This window comes from Homo sapiens, chromosome 22 (assembly GCF_000001405.40).
Source record: "Homo sapiens chromosome 22, GRCh38.p14 Primary Assembly".
NCBI classification, from domain to species: Eukaryota; Metazoa; Chordata; class Mammalia; order Primates; family Hominidae; genus Homo; species Homo sapiens.
In genome coordinates this window covers 38,145,103-38,166,465 of record NC_000022.11, presented here as the reverse complement: position 1 = coordinate 38,166,465, position 21,363 = coordinate 38,145,103, and the positions used below count along the sequence as shown (strand labels likewise).

The window sequence follows — 21,363 nt, the reverse complement described above, 5'->3', positions numbered from 1 at the left end:
GAGTCACCATGCCCGGCTTTGTTTGTCTTATTTCTAAATTTTATTGATTTATTTATTTTCACAGTCATAGCTCTGGAGTCTTTTTTATCTTCTCCCCTCTAACCTGCTCCCACCCGAACCTTTCCATTTCAGCAGATAGCATCATTGCAACGGGCTGTGCCAGATCCAGCCATCACATCCACCTTTCCAGCCAAAGGGAGGGTGGAAGGGCAGGATGCAGAAGGTCAATCTCCCCCTCCTCAGGGACATTTCATGGAAGTTGCACGCATTGGCCAGAACCCGGTCACATGGCCACAGCTAACTGCAAAGGATGCTGGGAAGTGTTGCCTGTGTTGCAGACAGCCACGTGCCAGTCGAAAATCAGAGGTTCTTTCTCCCTCCGTCTTGCTGCTGGCTCGCTTCTCCAGACCACAGTCATTGTGCACGTGTCTCCTGCTGCTCCGGCTGTGGCCTGCACTCCTCTCATCCTCTTCCAAGCTGCTGTCACAGCGCTGTTTCCAGAGGGCAAATCTGATTGGTCACTCCCCTGCTTTACTCCCCAAGGGCTTCCTGTTTTCTTTTATTTTTATTTTTATTTTCATTTTTTGAGATGGAGTCTCGCTCTGTCGCTCAGGCTGGAGTGCAGTGGCACAATGTCAGCTCACTGCAAGATCTGCCTCCTGGGTTCATGCCATTCTCCTGCCTCAGCCTCCCAAGTAGCTGGGACTACAGGCGCCCGCCACCACGCCCAGTTAATTTTTTTTGTATTTTTAGTAGAGACGGGGTTTCACCATCTACTCTTAGCCAGGATGGTCTCGATCTCCTGACCTTGTGATCTGCCCGCCTCAGCCTCCCAAAGTGCTGGGATTACAGGAGTGAGCCACCGCGCCCGGCCAGCTTCCTGTTTTCTTAACACATCAGGTGCTTAATGACTTAAAAGGGCCCAGTGTGATCAAGTTTCTGCCTCTGTGTTCTCAGCTCATGCCGCCTTGTGCTCCTGGCCTTTGCCCAGGCTCTTGCTGTGGCCTGGAATACTCCCCTTTCTTTGCCTGCCTTCCTTCCTCTTGCCCTCCCCTGACCTGCAGGCTGGATTAGGAGTTTCTGCTGGGCATCCCATGGCACCCGTCCCTGCACTGGGGATCCTGCTTTCCTGGTAGGCCACAGACCTTGTGAGGGGAGGGACTGTGTCTGTTGGGTTCATGACAGTGTGCCCAGCCCCCAGCAGGTGCCTGGCGTAGATCAGGTTTGTGGAACAAATGAATGTGATATATTAATTTAGCTTTAGAGTATTCATTGAGGGCTGCTGTGTGCCAGGCCCTCTGTGCCACCTGGGTGGAGGGTGGAGGACTGTTGCATTGAGGGCAGTTGAAGGAGTGAGCTGGGAAGTGGGAGGTGGAGGATGGGGACTGGGATGCAGGGTTTGAGGTTATCAGGGGTCCCAGAAGCAGTAATGCCAAGGCCTAGGCTGTGACCTGGAGTGAGGGCTGCGATGGGGTGGGGTGGGGTCGAGGCTGTGGAGGAGGGTCATCAGGGCACTGCTGGAGCCCTGGGGTTCTCCAGGGCCGGGGGTGGTCATTGCAGTGTTCTCCCAGCTCCTCTCAACACCCTGCGGTCTGTGGAGAGCAGGCCTGGTGCACTGGACTTGCCTCTGGCCAGGGCTGAGTTTCTGCCTTCTAAACGATCTTCCTCCTGTGTTGCCCTAGAGGCCTCTGGACTGTCCTGAGTACTTGACGCGTGTTAGAGTGAGCATGGGCTGCTAGCCTTCCGCTCCAGGTGGAGGAGTTTCTGTTGTTCTTTTGCTGCTGTTGCTGCAGTGAGCTGCCAGGCTGAGCTTCTGGATGGACCTGGGGGATGGAATTAGGAGCTTCTGAATTCTTGGGTTGTATAACCTAAGGCCGGAGAGTCCCACAGCACTGCTGCTGGGCGGAGAGACTGGACCCTGCTGATACAGACAGCGACAGCAGCAGGAGCATCTGCAGTTTCCCAGCAGGTCCTGCATGCCTGGGCTTGGCACTAGTCTAAGTAGTAACTCATGTTATCCTCACGACAGTCCCACGAGGTGGGGTCATTACTGACCTCCTATTACAGATGAGGAAACAGAGGCTTGCAGAATTTGAGATCACACAGCTGGTCAGCGTAGCGATTATTCAGACCCTGTCACCTGGCTCCAGAACCCACTCGTTTACCTTTCTTACATCAGGGCTGCTTTGTAGTGTGGCGAGCTGAGTGGAGCTCCACCCGCCTGGGCTGATCCTGGCCCTTCCTGCCTGACCTATGGTGCGGGGGCCCTGGCTCTCCCCGTGTGAGCCCCCAGGGGTCACTTGTAATATGCCTGTGTACACTATGATAGCATAGATACTTCTGTTCCTGGTACAGATTAATCATTTACGGCTGGCATTGACTTGTAACAGATGACATTTGATGAAATCAACCAGCCTCTCACTGGTATCTCAGCAGAAACAGGGCTGTACCTCCCAGGCATCCTGGGAAGGATGATAGAAGTGTGTGATCTGTGCTTCCCTACCGGGAGCTGACTTTTGAGGCTCTCTGGACTGGGACTTTGCCATAAAACTGCTTATCAGAAACCTCAGATAAGTGGAGTGCCCTGTGTCCTGGCCACGTACTCTGGGGCCAGCTCCTCCATCCATTCAGTCCTCCCACATCCCATCTTCACCAAGCAGAGTGGAAAGCGGCAGGTCTCTGCGAGAAAAGGAGGCTCTGTACCCAGCCTTCAGTGAGATAACTTTAGAGTGGGGCCTTGTATTCCCTACACAGGCCTTGTCCCCGACACGGCCTCTTTGCCCTTGCTTCTCCTTCTGCTAAGAATGCTCCTTCCCAACTCCTTGGCTGGACACACGGCTCCTGCTCTGTGGGCCTGTCCTGTTCCCACTCAGAGCCTCAGCACCCCCCATGTGGCCAAGACACAGCCCCTCTTGCCTTAGGTTGCCGTGGGTCTGTTTCCACATCTGTTTCCCCTCCAGACTGCAGGGCTCCTGAGGGACAGGGCCTGGGGCCAAGTCTCCTCTGCGTTCCTGATGCCTGGTGGTGTGCCACGCTCTCCGTGGGTGCACGGTAAATATCTGCCGAGTGGCTAGATGTATCCATGGTTGCTGAAGGCCAAGTGTGTTGACCAGAGGGCGTGGGAAAGGCTCCACTGGGGTGGCTGGGGTAGAGATAGACCTTAAGGGGTCCAGAAGACTCCACCAGCTGGAGGGAAAGGCCCTACAGAGACAAGGTACTAGGAAAGGCCCAGAGGACAGAGGAGGGGCCCTGTGGGGAGCCTGTGGGCAGGAAGGGCCTGTGCTGGGCTTTGAAACTGGGGACTCAGGTACTGCTCTAGCGTGAGGGTCCTTGGCATTTTTTTTGGTCCAGGACCCCCTGAGGTCCCTGGGGAATGAGAACAGGCTCACACAGCCACTTTCAAGAGGTTTGCAGGTCCCCTGAGGCTTAGCCACAGACCCCTCCCACCCCAGCAGAGACACAGCAGAGGCTTCTGAGTGGAGGCCAGGTGGCTTCAGCCTGGGGTTCTAGAAGGGAGGGAAGAGACACACCCCCGTGTGTCCTCCAGAGCCTCAGCCTTCTCCCTGAATCTCCCCTTTGCCTCCTCACTGTAACCCACACCTGGCTCTCCTTGAAGGACCCGCTTGCCCCGCAGCCTCCTGAGAGTTTTCTCTCCCAGTCCCTCTCCCACTGGGCCTGGAGGTGGGGTAGGGTCCTCCTTGCCCCCAGCCTTGAATCTTCTGTCACCCTACAATACCACTTGCTGTCACCCCGGTGATAGGTATCTACGAGCCTGGGGTGCTCCCCCACATCCTCAAAGATGTGAGCCCCTGACTCAGCGTTGCCTCTGGTTCCTGACCCTCCACATTCACATGACCACGCGCTGGCCTTTATCATCGCCAGTGACAGCAGCTCTCCCGTAAATACAAGTTTCAAGCACCCCACTTTCCAGTCTCTGCCTTCTGTCTTTCCAGTTCATTCCCTCTAGTCCTCCACCCACACAGTGCTTTTCCCCATTGACAGGGAATTGCTCCTGGCCGCTTTTCCCAGCCCCATCCCGTTCATGTGCCTTGCTTTGTACCCAGCATGGACTCCATGGCCTGTCATTGTCACTCCTTCACCTATACTTCCTGCCTCCTTGCTTCTCTCTCTCTTCGTCATCCTGGCATCACCACCCCAGAACTGCTTGGTTTCAGTTCTCCACCATGGCTAGGGGAACATACCTTTTTGCTGACTGCTCTCACTTTCTTTTTTTTTTTTTTTCTTTTTTTTTTTTTTGACACAGAGTCTCGCTCTGTTGCCCAGGCTGGAGTGCAGTGGCACACTCTCAGCTCACTGCAACCTCCACCTCCGGGGTTCAAGCAGTTCTCTCTGCCTCAGCCTCCTGAGTAGCTGGTATTATAGGCACCCGCCACCACACCCGGCTAATTTTTGTATTTTTTTTAGTACAGACAGGGTTTTGCCATGGTGGCCAGGCTGGTCTTGAACTCCTGACCTCAGGTGATATGCCTGCCTTGGCCTCCCAAAGTGCTGGGATTACAGGCATGAACCACCCTGCCCGGCCCTATTGCTCTCACTTTGAAATCACGACATGAGCCACAGTGAGCCTATGATGTGGTTTGACGTCTTTCTGCATTTCTCTGTTCACCCCTCTCCCAGAAGGCATGCCTCCTTCCCTCCCCTCAGCCTGCAGCCCCTTCCCCTCCACGCTTACTCTCAGCTGATAGCCCTGCTGCTGTCTCGCTGAGAAAATAGAAATAGCCAGAGGAGAATTCCCTCTACCCCATGCACACACCTCTGTCCCCGCCTACTCCACATTCCCTGTTGTCAGCACCGATGTGTTTAGCTGAGGGTGGTCCCCCCATTCAAGGCCATCATCTCCTGTCATCTACTTCTTGACACCATTTGAACAATTATCTCCCCTCTTTCCTACATAACACTTTCCCCTTTTCTACTATATATTTTTTGCTATGGATTGAAAGTATCCCCCCGAAATCATATGTTGAAGCCCCAATCCCTCGTGTGATGGTATTAGGAGGTAGAGCACTATGGGGGTGATTAGGTCATGAGGATGGAGCCCTCATGAATGGGATTAGTGCCCTTAGACGAAGAGGCAAGAAAGAGATGATCTGTCTCTGCCATGTGAGGGCACAACGAGAAGATAGCCATCTGCAAACCAGGAAGTGAACCCTCATCAGGAACTCTATCAGCCAGCACCTTGATCATAGACTTCCTAGCCTCTAGAACTGTGAGAAATAAAGGTTGTTTAAGCCTCCCAGTCTGTAGTTTTCTGTTATAATGTCCTGACCTAAGTTATTTTCCATCGCTATACAATGGGTTATTTTTTTCTTTAAAAAAAAATTATTTCTTGACTCTACTTTTTCCTCCAGAGACTGCTTATATTCCACTGTCTTCATTCTTCTCCTCCTGTTTTCTCTCTTTAAACTTTTCAAAAATAGCAAAATATAACACATATAGAGAAAATGATATACAGCTCAGTGATTTATCACAAACACCTGTGTAACCACCACTCGAATCTAGAGATAGGACATTACAGCACCCCAGAAGCCCTCCTTTTGTCCCCTCTTCCCAAAGAAGGGTAACCAATAACTTGCCTTTTATGATAAAGGCTTTTTTTTTTTGAGATGGAGTCTCACTGTGTTGCCCAGGTTGGAGTGCGGTGGCGCAATCTCTGCTTACTGCAAGCTCTGCCTCCTGGGTTCACGCCATTCTCCTGCCTCAGCCTCCTGAGTAGCTGGGACTACAGGTGCCCGCCACCACGCCCGGCTAATTTTTTGTATTTTAGTAGAGACGAGGTTTCACCGTGTTAGCCAGGATGGTCTTGATCTCCTGACCTCGTGATCCACCTGCCTCAGCCTCCCAAAGTGCTGGGATTACAGGCGTGAGCCACCGCCCCCGGCCAAGATAAAGGCTTTTCTATCTGGCTTCTTTGTTAGCATTTTGTTGGCGAGATTGATACGTTTTGTGTGCAGCTGTCTGTCATTTTCATTGCAATAGAATTCCATTGTCTACTATATCACAGTTACTCATTCTACTACTGATGAAAATTTGGGTTATTTCTAGTTTTTTTGGTGCATACATGCATACATTTCTGGTAGACATACCTAGAAGTGAACTGGCTGCATTATGGGCCATAACTTGTCTTCAACGTTAGTAAATAATACCGCCCGTCTGTTTTCCAAGCAGCAGTAAATGGCACTTTCTGTTACTTCATATCTTCTGTTACTTGGTACTGTCAGGTTTTAAAATTTTAGTCATTCTGTCGGGTGTCTAGTAGTATGTTATTGTGGTTTTATTTTGCATTTGCCTGATTGCAAATGAAGTTGAGCACTTTTTGATACAGTGATTAACCATTTGGATATCCTCTTCAGTGAAGTATCAGCTCAATTCTCTTGACTATTTAAAAAATAAAGTTGTTTATCTTTTTCTTACAGAGTTTTAGGAGGAGTTTTTTGGTACATGTGCAGTCCAAATACACACCTTTTGTCAGTGATACGTGTTCAGCTGCACACACGGTGTTTTGCCTTTTTATTCTTTTAATGGTATCTATTGATAAACATGAGTTCTTAGTTTTAATGAAGTCAAATTTGTTCATCTTCTTTACGGTGTACTTTTTGTGTCTTGTTTAAGGAAGTCCTTCTCTATCTTAAAGCTTTGAGAAGCATTCCTTCTTTCTCCTATTTTCTAAAAATTGTTGAAGATCTCCTTCCTTCCTTCCTTCCTTCCTTCCTTCCTTCCTTTCATCTATCTCTCTCTCACCCAGGCCAAACTTCAGTGGCATGATCATGGCTCACTGCAGCCTCAACTTCCCAGGCTCAAGTGATCCTCCTGCCTCAGCCTCCTGAGTAGCCAGGACTACAGGCACGCACCACCATACCTGGCTAATTTTAAAAATTTTTTGTAGAGACACGGTCTCATCAAGTTACCCAGGCTGGTCTTGAACTCCTGGGCTCAAACAATCCTCCCACCTCAGCCTCCCAAAGTGCTGGGATTACAGGCATGAGTCACATGTCTAGCCTGTATTCTTTCTTTCTTAAATGTTTGGAAGAATTCATGGGTAAAACCATGTGACCCTGGAGTTTATTTGTGGGAAGCTTTTAAAACATGGATTCGATTTCTTTAACAAATATAGGACTATGAGATTTTCATCTCATGTCGGTTTGGGTATGTTGTGTTTTCAAGGAATTTTTCTATTTTATCGAAGTTGTCAAATTTGTCTGCAGGTCCCCTTATTTCCTTTTTAATGTATGGAGGATCTGAAGGGATGGTACTTTGTGTTGTCTCTATTTCTTGTTTGGTTTTGCTAGTGATTTGCCAATTTAAAAAATCTTTCCAAAGAACCAACTTTTGGCTTTGTTTATTTTTTGAAAACCTGAGTAGCTGGGATTACAGGCGCCCACCACCACACCCGGCTAATTTTTTTATTTTTAGTAGAGGTGGGGTTTCACCATATTGGCCAGGCTGGTCTCGAACTCCTGACCTCAGATGATCCACCCGCCTCGGCCTCCCAAAGTGCTGGGATTACAAGTGTGAGCCAGTGTGCCTGGCAAGCCGCTTTTTAAATGGCACCAATCCCATTCATGAGGGCAGAGCCCTGATGATCGAATTACCTCCTAATGGCCCCATTTCTTAATACTATCACACTGAGAATTAAGTTTTAACATAAGAATTTTAGGAAGACACAAACATTCAGACCATGGAACATATATAAAACAGTTGTCCTACCAACTAACAGAATACACATTCTTTTCAAGAACACCTATATAAAAATTATAGACACTGACCTATGCTGGCCATAAAGCAAATATGAACAAATTTCAGATACCTGAAGAGATTTAGACTATGTTCTCCAACTACAGTGCAATTAAGCTAGAAATCAATAGCAAAAATGTAACTATAAATGAGCCCGTATGTTTGAATTTTAAGCAAGATATATGTAAATTATCTATGGTTCAAAAAAGAAGTCACAGTGAAATTTAGAAAATATCTTGACGTGGCGGGTTGCAGTGGCTCACGCCTGTAATCCCAGCACTGTGGGAGGCCAAGGCGGGTGGATCACCTGAGGTAAGGAGTTTGAGACCAGCCTGGCCAACATGGTGAAACCCTGTCTCTACTAAAAATACAAAACATTAGCCAGGCGTGGTGGTGGGCACCTGTGGTCACAGCTACTTGGGAGGCTGAAGCGGGAGAATCACTTGAACCCGGGAGGCAGAGGTTGCAGTGAGCCGAGATTGCACCACTGCACTCCAGCCTGGGCAACATGAGTGAAACTTCATCTCAAAAAAAAAAAAAAAAGAAAAGAAAAAGAAAATATCTTGACCCAATGATGATGCAAATACTACGTATCAAACTTGTAGGATGAACTTCCACTTCTGGCCATGACAGAGGAGCCTGTATCAGACTAGCCTTCCTATTTATATATTTATTTTTGAGATGGGGTGTCGCTCTGTTGCCCAGGCTGGAGTGCGGTGGTGCAATCTCAGCTCACTGCAACCTCCACCTCCTGAGTTCAAGTAATTCTCCTGTCCCAGCCTTCCAAGTAGCTGGAATTACAGGCGCCCACCACCACACCCAGCTAGTTTTTTATATTTTTAGTAGAGACGGGGTTTCACCATGTTGGCCAGGCTGGTCTCGACACCTGACCTCAGGTGATCCACCTGCCCCTGCCTCCCAAAGTGCCGGGATTACAGGTGTGAGCCACTGCGCCTGGCCGTGAGTGACCTTTTTAATGTGTTGTTGAATTTGATTTGCTGGTATTTTGTTGAGAAGTTTTGCATCAATATCCATCAGGGATACTGGCCTGTAGTTTTCTTTTTTTATATGTCTTTGTCTGGTTTTGGTGTCAGGGCAATACTGGCCTCATAGAATGAGTTTGGAAGTTTTCTCTCCTCTGTTTTTCATAATAGTTTGAGTAGGGTTGGTATTAGTTTTTGTTTAAATGTTTGGTAAAATTAAGCAGTGAAGCCACTGGGTCCCAGGCTTTTCTTTGCTGGGAGACTTTTCATTACAGCTTTGATCTCATTACTTGTTATTGGTCTATTTAGGTTTTGGATTTCTTCACGGTTCCATCTTGGTAGGTTGTGTATGCCTAGGAATTTATCCATTTCTTCTAGGGTTTTCAATTTATTGGCATATAATTGTTCACAGTAACCTCTAATAATCCTTTGAGTTTCTGTGATATTGGTTGTAATATCTCTTTTGTCATTTCTGATTTTTTTGTTTGGGTTTTCTCTCTTTTTTTGTTAGTCTAGTTAAAGATTTATTGATTTTGTTTATCTTTTCAAAAAACTTTATTTTGTTGATCTTTTGTATTGTTTTGTTTCAATTTCATTTATTTCTGCTATGATCTTTATTATTTCTTTTCTTCTACTAATTTTGGGTTTGGTTTGCTCTTTTCTAGTTCTTTAAGAGACATCATTAGATTATTTTGAAGTTTTTCTACTTACTTGATGTAGGTGCTTATAGGTACAACTTTCCTCTTAGTACTTCTTTCCCTGTATCTCACAGGTTTTGATATGTTGTGTTTCCATTATCATTTGTTTCAGGATGTTTTTAAATTTCCTTCTTAATTTCTTCATTGACCATTCAAGAGCATATTATTTCATTTCCATGTGTTCGTATGGTGTGCAAAATACCTTGTTTTTGATTTGTAGTTTTATTTCATTGTGATCACAGAAGATACTTGATATGATTTCAAATTTAAAAAGTAATTTGGCTGGGAGAAGTGGCTCATGCTTGTAATCCCAGCGCTTTGGGAGGCCGAGGCAGGCAGATCACGAGGTCAGGAGATCGAGACCATCCTGGCTAACACAGTGAAACCCCGTCTCTACTAAAAATACAAAAAATTAGCCAGGCATGGTGGCAGGTGCCTGTAGTCCCAGCTACTCAGGAGGCTGAGGCAGGAGAATGGTGTGAACCCGGGAGGCAGAGCTGGTAGTGAGCCGAGATCGCGCCGCTGCACTCCAGCCTGGGTGACAGAGCAAGACTCTGTCTCAAAAAAAAAATAATAACAATAATAATAATTTAAGACTTGTTTTGTGGCCTACCATATGGTCTATCCTTGAGAATGATCCATATGCTGAGGAGAAGAATGTGTATTCTGCAGCCGTTGGATGAAATGTTCTGTAAATATCTAATAGGTTCATCTGATCTATACTGCAGACTAAGGCTGGTGTTTCTTTGTTGATTTTCTGTCTGGATGAACTGTCTAATGCTGAAAGTGGAGTATTGAAGTCTCCAGCTATTATTGTATTGAGGTCTATCTCTCTCTTTAGCTCTAAGAATACTTCCTTTATATATCTGGGTGTTCCAGTGTTGAGTGCATATGTATTTAAAATTGTTACATTATCTTGCTGAATTGACCCTTTTATATAATGACCTTCTTTGTCTCTTTTTATAGTTTTTGTCTTGAAGTCTGTTTTGCCTCATAGAATAGCATAGCTATTCCTGCTCTTATTTGGTTTCCATTTGCATGGAATATCTTTCTCCATCCCTTTAGTTTCAGTCTATGTGTGTCTTTACAGGTAAAGTGTGTTTCATGTAGGCAACAGATCACTGGGTCTTGTTTTTCTATCCGTTCTGCCACTCTGTGTCTTTTGATTGGAGAGTTTAGTCCATTTATGTTCAATGTTATTACTGACAAGTAAGGACTTACTCCTGCCACTTTATTAATTATTTTCTTGTTGCTTTGTGATCTTCTTTCTTTCCTTCCTGTTCTCCTTTTAGTGAAGGTGATTTTCTCTGGTGGTATGTTTTAATTTCTTGCTTTTTATTTTTTTGTGTGTATCTGCTGTATGTTTTTTGATTTGAGGTTAACATGAGGCTTGCAAATAATATCTTATAACCTAATATTTTAAACTGATGACACCTTAACACTGATTGCATAAACAGACAAACAAGCAAAGAGAAAACTAATAAAAACTCTACATTTTAACTTTGTCCCCCCACTTTTTAACTTATTGTACTGTTTATGTCTGAAAAGTTGTAGTTATTATTTTTGATTGGTTCCTCTTTTAGTCTTTCTACTCAAGATATGAGTGGTCTACATATGACAGTGTTATAATATTCTATATGTTTCTGTGTACTTGCTATTACCATTAAGTTCTGTACTTTCAAGTGATTTCTTATTGCTCATTAATGTCCTTTTCTTTCAGATTGAAAAACTCCCTTTAGCATTTAGCAGTATGTGAACTGCATTTTTCAAGTCCAGAATTTCTGCTTGATTCTTTTTTTTTTTTTTGAGATGGAGTCTTGCTCTGTCGCCCAGGCTGGAGTGCAGTGGCGCGATTTCCGCTCACTGCAAGCTCTGCCTCCCGGGTTCACACCATTCTTCTGCCTCAGCCTCCCGAGTAGCTGGGATTACAGGCGCCCGCCACCACGCCTGGCTAATTTTTTGTATTTTTAGTAGAGATGGGATTTCACCATGTTAGCCAGGATAGTCTCGATCTCCTGACCTTGTGATCCGCCTGCCTTGGCCTTCCGAAGTGCTGGGATTACAGGCGTGAGCCACTGTGCCCAGCCTGCTTGATTCTTTTAAATTATTTCAATCTCTTTGCTAAGTTTATCTGTTAGGATTCTGAATTCCTTCTCTGTGTTAGCTTGAATTTCACTGAGTTCCCTCAAAACAGCTATTTTGAATTCTCTGTCTGAAAGGTCACATATCTCTGTCTCTCCAGAATTGGCCACTGGTACCTTAATTAGTTCATTTGGTGAGGTCATGTTTTCCTGTATGGTCTTGATGCTTGTGATGTTCGTCAGTGTCTGGGCATTGAAGTTAGGTATTTATTGTAGTCTTTGCAGTCTGGGCTTGTTTGTATCTGTTCTTCTTAGGAAGACTTTCCAGGTAATAAAAGGGACTTGGGTATTGTGATCTAAGTTTTTGGTCACTGCAGCCATATCTGCATTAGGGGGCACCCCAAGCCTACTAATACTATGGCTCTTGCAGACTCGTAAAGGTACCACTTGGGTGGTCTTGGATAAGATCTGGAAGAATTCTCTGGATTACCAGGCAGAGGCTCTTGTTCTCTTCCCTTACTTTCTCCCCTAAAAGTGGAGTCTCTCTCTCTGTGCTGGGCCGCCTGGAGCTAGGAGAGGGGTGACACAGGCACCTCTGTGGCCACTATCACTAGGACTATGCTGGCTCAGACCTGAAGCCAGCACAGCACTGGGTCTCACCCAAGGCCTACAGTCTCCACTGCCTGGCTACTGCCTACGTTTGCTTAAGGCACTAGGGCTCTACAGTCAGCAGGTGGTGAAGCCAGTGAGATTATGTCCTTCCCTTCAAGGCAGCAAGTTCCCCCTACCCCCATCCTGGGAAGGTCCTTAGATGCCATCTGGGAGGCAGGGCCTGCAGTCAGAAACCTTAGTAATCTCCCCAGTGCTCTATTCTATTACAGCCTGGCTGATACCCAAGCCATAAGGCAAAGTCCTTCCTGCTCTTCCCTCCCCTTTCCACAAGCAGAGAAGTCTCTCTCCATGGCCACCACTGCCCCAGCCCTGTGGCAGTGCTGCCAGGCCACTGCCAACGTTCATTCAGGGCCTAAGGGCTCTTGAAGCAACTGAACACTGCCAGGCCTGGGACTCTCCCTTTAGGGTAGTGGGCTCCCCTCTGACCCAGGGCAGGTCCAGAACTGCCACCCCACAGCCAACACTTAGAATCTGGGACCCCAAGAGCCCTCTTGGTGCTCTGCCACACTGTAGCTGAGCTGGTACCTAGGCTGATTTTTGCTTTTTATGAAGGTACTTTTTTGTGTGTATAGTTCAATTTGGTTTTCCTCCAGGGAGGACAATTGGTGGAGGTTTCTATTTGGGCATCTTTTTTTTTTTTTTTTGAGACGGAGTTTTGCTCTTTCACCCAGGCTGGAGTGCAGTGGCGCGATCTCGGCTCACTGCAACCTCTGCCTCCTGGGTTCAAGCGATTCTCCAGCCTCAGCCTCCCCAGTAGCTGGGATTACAGGTGCCTGCCACCATGCTTGGCTACTTTTTTTTTCAATTAAAAAGTAAACTTTAATGTCGAAAATGCAAACTTGGGGAAGGCAGAAAGATCACACACAAGGCTGTCGCTTCACACTTGGAAGGTTGCACGGCGGCCAGGAGAGGCACTCCTCACTTCCCAGACAGGGCGGGGGCCGGGCAGAGGCGCTCCTCACTTGCCAGACGGGGCGGCGGCCACATGCCTGGCTAATTTTTGTATTTTTAGTAGGGACGGGGATTCTCCGTGTTGGCCAGGCTGGTCTCAAACTCCTGACTTCAGGTGATCCACGCACCTCGGCCTCCCAAAGTGCTGGGATTACAGGCATGAGCCACCGCGCCCAGCCCTATTTGGCCATCTTGCTTTGCCTCCACCTTCATTTGATAACAGAACACCCCCATGTAACCACCACCACAATCAAGATATAAGACATTTCTGTTATTCTCCAAATTTCCTTCACCCTCCTTTATAGTCCATGGCACCCACCCCATCCCTGGGCAACACCTATGTGCTTCCTTTTTTTTTTTCCCCGCAGGAGGACGTCTTCCTATACCTATGTGCATTCCATCACTGCTGCTTTTAATCATATAGCGTGTAGTCTTATGAGTCTGACTTTTTCACTTAGCATAATGCTTTTGCAATTTGTGATTGAGCGTTTTCATATGATTCTGTTTTTTCTGTCTCTTAGCTTGGAAGTTATACACTTTTTAGTAGTAACTGTTGGGAGATCGTTCTCCAAGAGTCTCTCTCATATTTCCATACATCCTGCTAGCAGAGACATTGACTACCTGTTTTTGTCTGTTTAGTGTTGCTATAAAGGAATACCTAAGTCTGAGTATTATACATAGAAAAGAGGTTTTATTTGTCTCATGGCTCCTCAGGCCATACAAGAAACATGGTGCCAGCATCTTACCAGTGTCACATGGCAAGAAAGGAAGTGAGGAAGAGAAAATAAGTTGTTAACTGGTTGTTAAAAAGTGCCAGGCACGGGCCAGGCACAGTGGCTCGTGCCTGTAATCCCAGCACTTTGGGTGGCCAAGGCGAGTGGATCACCTGAGGTCGGGAGTTTTGAGACCAGCCTGACCAACATGGAGAAACCCTGTCTCTACTAAAAAAAATACAAAAAAATTAGCTGGGCATGGTGGTGCATGCCTGTAATCCTAGCTACTCGGGAGGCTGAGGCAGGAGAATTTCTTGAATCCAGGAGGTGGAGGTTGCAGTGAGCCAAGATCACCTGGGCGACAAGAGCGAAACTCTGTCTCAAAGAAAAAAAAAGTGCCAGGCTCTTTTTAACAACCAGTTCTTACAGGAACTAATAGAGTGAAAACTCACTCACCCCCACCCCACAGGGAGGGCATTCATTCATGAGGGATCCACCCCTATGACCCAAACACCTCCCATTAGCCCCCCACCTCCAACATTGGAATCAAAATTTAACATGAGGTTTGGGGGGCAGAAATCCAAATTATAGCACTACCTTTGTTCCAGGCTACCTTCAAAGGATGTTTATACAGCAAACAGCCTTGGAAAATAGAGTTAGGGTCTCCTTGTAGAGCACAGGGTAAGTTTGCTTACTTTTCAGCATAATCAAGATTGTGTCTTCTTCTGGAGCAAAACTTTGACAACAACAAGCGGGGCAAAGTCTGAAACCTTTTGCACATCTTGACAGAACCTTAGAGATTACGAGATTTATCTCTGCCTTACTCAAGGTCCATTAGTATCTTCCAGAACAATAAGTTGGTCTTAGAATCCTTTAGCTATGTATTCCCTTCCAGGCTTCGATGCTGTGTGCTGTTGTTTTATTTAGTTTTTATTTTAAACCCAACAAGACGCTATACCATCAATACTTATTTAGATCCCCCCACATATTTAACTTGCCATGGTGCTTCATTCTTTCATGCCTCTTTAAGCATCCATCTAGGATCGTGTTCATTCCACATGAAGAGAAAGCTTTTGGCCCAGCACGATGGCTCACACCTGTAATCCCAGCACTTTGGGAAGCCTAGGCGGGAGGATCGCTTGAGCCCAGGATTTCCAGACCAGCCTGGGCTACGTGGCAAAACCCTGTCTCTACTGAAAATACAAAAAATTAGCCAGGTGTGGTGGTTCACGTCCCTGCTACTCGGGAGGCTGAGGTGGGAGGATTACTTAAACCTGGGAGGTTGAGGCTGCAGTGAGCGTTGATTGCACCACTGCACTCCAGCGTGGGTGACAGGAGTGAGACCATGTCTCCAAAAAAAAAAAAGAAGGAAAGAAAAAGCTTTTGTATTTCCTTTCGTGTAGGTCTGCTAATGACAAAGTCTCTGGGTTTTTTGTTTGACTAGAGAAATGTTTTAATTTTAACCTTATTCTTGAAGGTTTTGTTTTTGTTTTCATTTTGTTTTGTGTGCTAAGTACAGAATTCTCATTGGCATTTATTTATTTAGAGACAGAGTCTTGCTCTGTGGCCCAGGCTAGAGTACAGTGGCACGATCTCCGCCTCCCAGGTTCAAGCGATTCTCCTCCCTCAACCTCCTGAGTAGCTGGGGCTACAGGCATGCACCACTACACCTGACTAATTTTTGTATTTTTAGTAGAGACGGGGTTTCACCGTGTTGCCCAGGCTGATCTCAAACTCCTGAGCTCAAGTGATTTGCCTGCCTTGGCCTCCCAAAGTGCTGGGATTATAGGCATGAGCCGCCGTGCCTGGCCAGCATTTATTTTCTTTTCAGCTCTTTAAGGAAGTCATTCCATTATCTCTGGGTTCCATTGTTGAGAAGCCAGCTGTCATTCTAATGGTTGCCCTTTGAAGATAACTTTTTTCCCTCTGCTATTTTAAATATTTCCTCCTTGTATTTTATTTTCAACAGGTGTAATGTGGCACATATATCAGCAATTGTTATGTTACATACAATACATATTGTGCAACATATGTATCATTATCAGTTATTGCTGTGTAACAAACTACTCCAGAACACAGTGGCTTATAAAAGGAATCATTTATTTAGTCCTTAAATCTGCAATTTGAGCAGAGCTCAGTGGGAAAGCCTCAGCTTTACTTTATATGGCACCATATAAGGTAACTCGCAACTGGCAAGTTGGTGCTGGCTGTTGGCTGGTAGTTCATTCAGGGCTCAGGGCCCAGGACCAAGAGTCGTCACCATGGCTTGCTTCAGCCTCCTTGAGGCATGATGGCTGGGTCCCAAGAGAAGAGAAATAGAAACTTCCAGTCTCTTAAGGCATTGGTCTGGAAGCTGGGACGGCATCACTTTTGCCATATTCTGTTGGTAACGCAGTTACATCGCCAGATTAAAGGGTAAAGAGATACAAATTCCCACTGCTCAGTGCAAGGAATATCAGTGATTTTAGGGGGCCCTGTTTTAAAACCCCTACAAGGTGCTAAGCGTGGATTTCTGGGGCTTTCTTGTTTTTTGTTTTTTTCTATGTGTTTTTTTTTTTTTTTTTGGTGGTGGGGTCAGGGAGGGCTTATAGGGTATGTTAAATCAGCAGAATAATTTTATTTATTTATTTGGAGATGGAGTTTCACTCTTTTGCCTAAGCTGGAGTGAAGTAGCGTGATCAGAGATGGAGTTTCACTCTTTTGCCTAAGCTGGAGTGAAGTAGCGTGATCTCGGCTCACTGCAACCTCCGCCCCGCTGGTTCAAGCAATTCCCCTGCCTTAGCCTCCCAAGTAGCTGGGATTATAGGCACCCACCGCCACGCCCGGCTAATTTTTATATTTTTAGTAGACATGGGGTTTCGCCATGGCTAGTCTGGAATTCCTGACCTCAGGTGATCCACCCACCTTGGCCTCCCAAAGTGGTGGGATTACAGGTATGAGCCACTGTGCCTGACCTATAATGTTTTTTAAAAATCAGTTTTGGAAAGTTTGCAGACATTAACTTTTCAAATGTAGCTTCCATTTGATTCTTTTTCTACTCTGCCTCTGATCCTCCACTTATGTATGTATGCTAGATCTTTTATTAGATAGTCTGTGTCTCTTATGTACTCTACTATATTTTGTATTCTTCTGTCTCTCCATGCTTTATTCTGTTTACTCTTTCCTGATTATATTTTTTAATTTTGTAATTTCCATTTGATGCTTTTTTGATCATTCAAAACTCTTCACCAAAATTCTAAATTTCCTTTTTTAACCTCTCGAATGTTATCACAGTTACTTTAAAGTCTATTTTGGATAACTTAAATATTTACAGTCCCCTCACAGATATGTTTCTTTTGTATATTGTTTCTGTTGGTTTTCTTTCATGTCTTATCTCCACATATGCCTGGTGAGTTTTGATTATGTGTTGGTCATTGTATTTGCAAGTATGCTCGTAGAAATAATCTGGAATGGCCGGGCGCAGTGGCTCATGCCTGTAATCCCAGCACTTTGGGAGGCTGAGGCAGGTGGATCACGAGATCAGGAGATCAAGACCATCCTGGCTAACATGGTGAAACCCCATCTCTACTAAAAATACAAAAAATTAGCTGAGCATGGTGGCACGTTCCTGTAATCCCTGCTACTCGGGAGGCTGAGGCAGGAGAATCACTTGAACCAGGAGGCAGAGGTTGCAGTGAGCCGAGATCACGCCACTGCACTCCAGCCTGGGTGACAGAGCGAGACTCCGTCTCAAAAAAAAAAAAAAAAAAAAAAAAAGAAATAATCTAGAGCCTAGTTTGATGTTTCCTTACAAAGAATGAATTTATTTTTGCTTCTCCCATTGCAACTAGGATAACCTCAGTCTAGTTTCTGGAACTGAAATCACTTGAGGCTGAACTGTGGTCTCTGTGAGAGCGTGTCTGTGTATGGCTCACCCTTATTCCTAGGCTACGTAGTTCTTTAGGACCCTAACCCAAAGTAAGAGATGTTCATCAGGGCTCTCCTCTTGGCAGACGCCTGGGCTCCAGTCCCTGTGTCCTGAGCCCCATGAGGCTGTTACTGGTGCTGCTCGTCTGCCCATCCTCTCCAGTAACAGCCACCTGAACACTGCAATTCCTGGGTTTCCATCATTCCTTCCAGCCTGGTGAGTCATCAGTGTCTTTTGAGGTATCCAGTGCCTGCCAGCAGATGTTTTTTAATAATTTGTCCAGCATTTCTGGCTGTCCTCAGTAGGTGGTCTGTTTCACATTCCCTAGTCTGCTGTTAATGGAAAGTGGAAGTTCTGAGAGAGAATCATCGTTCCCGTCAGCATTCAAATGCCTGATTACACTTTCCCCATTCGCTATCCTTTCCTTTATTTGCTCCTCACCACAGCAAAACTCCTCAAAAATATCTATCTTTGCAATCTTCAGATTCTCACATTGTGTCCTTAAACCCACTTTAATCAGGCCTTGGTTCCCTCCATTCCACTAAAAGTAATGTTGTCAAGGTCGTGCATGCCTCCGTGATGCTAATTCCAGTGATGAGTTTTCAGTTGTCATTCTCTGACATATCGGCAACACTTGATGTGGAGTACCCTGATGTTGAGAGGCTGGTGAGATGAAGGAAAAACCCAGCCAAGGGCAATGAGGAATGGCTTCCTTCCGCCTCCTCCTTCCCTATCTTTGTTGTGGTTTTTGTTGTTTCTGTAACACTGATTACGTTATAGTTTATTTAATGTACTTCCTTATTCTATGTTTTTACTTTAGTCATTTTGTTGATCTCCTCCATAATAACATAGGCTCGGGCCAAGCACAGTGGCTCACGCCTGTAATCCCAGCACTTTGGGAGACCAAGATGGGTGGATCACTTGAGGTGAGGAGTTCGAGACCAGCCTGGCCAACATGGCGAAACCCTGTGCCTACTAAAAATACAAAAATTAGCTGGGCGTGGTAGCAAGCGCCTGTAATCCCAGCTACTAGGGAGGCTGAAGCAGGAGAATTGCAGGAGAATCACTTGAACCCAGGGGGCAGAGGTTGCAGTGAGCTGAGATCGCGCCACTGCACTCCAGCCTGGGTAACAGAGTGAGACTCTGTCTCAAAAAAAAAAAAAAAAAAAAGGCTTCAGGAGGGCAGAGCATTTTATGCAATTGTTCATTAATTGACCCCTCCATTTGGCACAGATCACATGCCCAGTAGTTAACTGTTAATCAACGCACTCTCTGTGGAACAACAGGCTGGTCCCGTTGAGCCAACACTCTCTGGGCACTGCCTTCACTAGACTCTGGCTGGCTGCTGCGCTTGTAGAGGTATGCAAGACAAAACCTTTTGGTATGTTAAAAGCCCTGGTCAGAACTTTAAGTAACCATCACTGACATATAATGGTTATGGTTTTGAAAGTGCTTTTATAGTGGTTTTTCATCTGTCCTCACAGCACCTCTGGGAGGTAGGTAGGACAGGTACAGTTAGTCTCATGTTTCAAATGGGGCTCAGAGAGGGAAAAGGATTTCCCAAGATCACACAGCACCTTAGTAGCAAAACTTGGACTCAACCTCAACACTTAAAAATGAACAAAGCTGGCCGGGCGCAGTGGCTCATGCCTGTAATCCTAGCACTTTGGGAGGCCCAGGCAGGCAGGTCACCTGAGGCCAGGAGTTTAAGATCAGCCTGGCCAACATGACAAAACTCTGTCTCTTCTAAAAATACAAAAAATTAGCCGGGCATGGTGGCGGGTGCCTGTAATCCCAGCTACTCAGGAGGCTGAGGCAGGAGAATCACTTGAACCTGGGAGATGGAGGCTGCAGTGAGCCGAGATCGTGCCATTGTACTCCAGCCTGGGCAACAAGAATGAAACTCCATCTCAAAAAAAAAAAAAAGAAAAGAAAAGAAAAAGAAAAGTTTCCCTTTTTTTAAATATCTCATTTTAATGACTGCATAATAGTTTATTACATAGTTATACCATAATTTATATAATATTTTGTTGCTGTACATTTAGGTTAAACAATACTTACTTAGTTCCTACTATGAAGAGGGGCCAAGTACTCGAGGCTGGAGCTCTCACATGTGGCAATGAAATTAGAAAGTGGATATGGCAGGGCTGTGGTAAAATAAAATATAAAAATAATAAATGATATTACCAAAGAAAAGGAAAGTTTTTCAAAATAAAGGAAAATCTAGACAAGCATAGTGGCTCACACCTGTAATCCCAGTACTTTTGGAGGCTGAGGCAGGAGGAACACTTGAGGCCAGGAGTTCAAGACCAGCCTGGGCAACATAGCAAGACCCCCTGTCAACAAAAATAAAAAAAAATTAGGCCAGGCACAGTGGCTCACGGTGGCTAGTGCCTGAAATCCTAGCACTTTGAGAGGCTGAGGGGGGTGGATTGCCTGAGCTCAGGAGTTCGAGACCAGCCTGGGCAACATGGCCAAACCCCATCTCTACTAAAAACACAAAAAATTAGCCAGGTGTGGCAGCACACGCCTTTAATCCCAGCTACTCTGGAGACTGAGGTAGGAGAATTGCTTGAACCCGGGAGGTGAAGGTCGCAGTGAGGTGAGATTACAACACTGCACTCCAGCCTGGGTGACAAAATGAGACTCTATCTCAAAAAAAAAAAAAATTAGCTGGGCATGGTGGTGCATGCCTGTAATCCCAGCTACTCAGGAACTAAGGTAGGAGGATCCCTTCAGCCCAGGAATTCGAAGATGCAGTGAGTCATGATCACACCACCGCACCCCAGCCTGGGTTACAGAGCAAGACCTTGTCTCTAAAAAACAAAGAAAGTCTAACCTAAACGCCATTATGTCATTTACATGTGTATAGGGGTGTGTGTGTGTGTGTGTGTGTGTGTGTGTGTGTGTGTGTGTGTGTGTGTTTGCTTGGGAGGGGAGTCGGGCTGGAGCTGGCCAGGCCGCAGCCTGGGGACCTTCTGATTCCAGCAGGGATGTGGGCCGAGGGTCCCGCCTTACTCATTTCGGGTCTTGCTCCTCTGTCCTGGCTCTACAGACTCTTCCAGCTGGAGTTGGAGGCTGACGCCCTAGTGAATTTCCATCAGTATTCTTCCCAGCTGCTACCCTTCTATGAGAGCTCCCCTCAGGTCCTGCACACTGAGGTCCTGCAGCACCTGACCGACCTCATCCGTAACCACCCCAGCTGGTCAGTGGCCCACCTGGCTGTGGAGCTAGGGATCCGCGAGTGCTTCCATCACAGCCGTATCATCAGGTGAGCAAGGGAACAAGACCATTTGGACAACGTGTGTGTACCTGCTTGTGTGGGCAGTGGGGGCCGCAGGCCTCGGTTCCCCTCCATAGTTTGACTTAAAAAGGAGCAGGGCCTGGCATGGTCGCTCACTAACGCAGTCCCAGCACTTTGGGAGGCTGAGGAGGGAGGATCACTTGAGACTAGGAGTTCAAGACCAGCCTGGCAAAATAGCAAGACCTTGTCTCTACGAAAAAATTAAAAAATTAGCATGTGTCTATACTCCTAGCTACTTGGGATGCTGAGGCAGGAGGATTGCTTGAGCCCAGGAGTTAGAGTTTACAGTGAGCTATGATTGC

At 46.2% G+C, this 21,363-nt stretch overlaps 1 protein-coding gene across 9 annotated transcripts in view, besides 5 other annotated features; it reads left to right on the top strand.

The window, feature by feature from the left end:
* Positions 1-21,363, top strand: part of PLA2G6 (phospholipase A2 group VI) — a 70,336-nt gene that overhangs the window by 15,365 nt on the left and 33,608 nt on the right. For 7 of the 9 annotated variants that reach the window (NM_001349868.2, NM_001349866.2, NM_001199562.3 and 4 more), the window contains exon 3: positions 20,813-21,028. Coding sequence is in view for 6 of the 9 variants with exons in the window: in NM_001349866.2 (NP_001336795.1) it covers positions 20,813-21,028 (216 nt within the window). In the remaining 3 variants the exon portion in view is untranslated. Of the gene's footprint in view, positions 1-17,842; positions 17,974-20,812; positions 21,029-21,363 lie in introns of all 9 variants that reach the window. The other 2 variants (NM_001349869.2, NM_001349867.2) reach the window with 1 other exon arrangement.
* Positions 490-634: an enhancer, noted in NCBI's record as "145 bp 22:38561911 sequence used in MPRA reporter constructs". NCBI's record gives its function as "activates a minimal TATA-containing promoter with rs132971 allelic activity by MPRAs in C283T melanocytes and UACC903 melanoma cells {active_cell/tissue: C283T | UACC903}" and the evidence as "EXISTENCE:reporter gene assay evidence [ECO:0000049][PMID:36423637]".
* Position 562: a transcriptional cis regulatory region, noted in NCBI's record as "rs132971 or 22:38561911 MPRA-significant variant associated with a GWAS melanoma risk locus at 22q13.1". NCBI's record gives its function as "allelic transcriptional activity by MPRAs in C283T melanocytes and UACC903 melanoma cells {active_cell/tissue: C283T | UACC903}" and the evidence as "EXISTENCE:reporter gene assay evidence [ECO:0000049][PMID:36423637]".
* Positions 1,744-2,244: an enhancer, noted in NCBI's record as "H3K4me1 hESC enhancer chr22:38560229-38560729 (GRCh37/hg19 assembly coordinates)". NCBI's record gives its function as "activates a minimal SCP1, AML or CMV promoter by ChIP-STARR-seq in primed H9 embryonic stem cells {active_cell/tissue: H9 hESC(primed)}" and the evidence as "EXISTENCE:reporter gene assay evidence [ECO:0000049][PMID:30033119]".
* Positions 2,245-2,745: an enhancer, noted in NCBI's record as "H3K4me1 hESC enhancer chr22:38559728-38560228 (GRCh37/hg19 assembly coordinates)". NCBI's record gives its function as "activates a minimal SCP1, AML or CMV promoter by ChIP-STARR-seq in primed H9 embryonic stem cells {active_cell/tissue: H9 hESC(primed)}" and the evidence as "EXISTENCE:reporter gene assay evidence [ECO:0000049][PMID:30033119]".
* Positions 4,199-4,248: an enhancer, noted in NCBI's record as "active region_18993". NCBI's record gives its function as "activates an Ori minimal core promoter by ATAC-STARR-seq in GM12878 lymphoblastoid cells {active_cell/tissue: GM12878}" and the evidence as "EXISTENCE:reporter gene assay evidence [ECO:0000049][PMID:35858748]".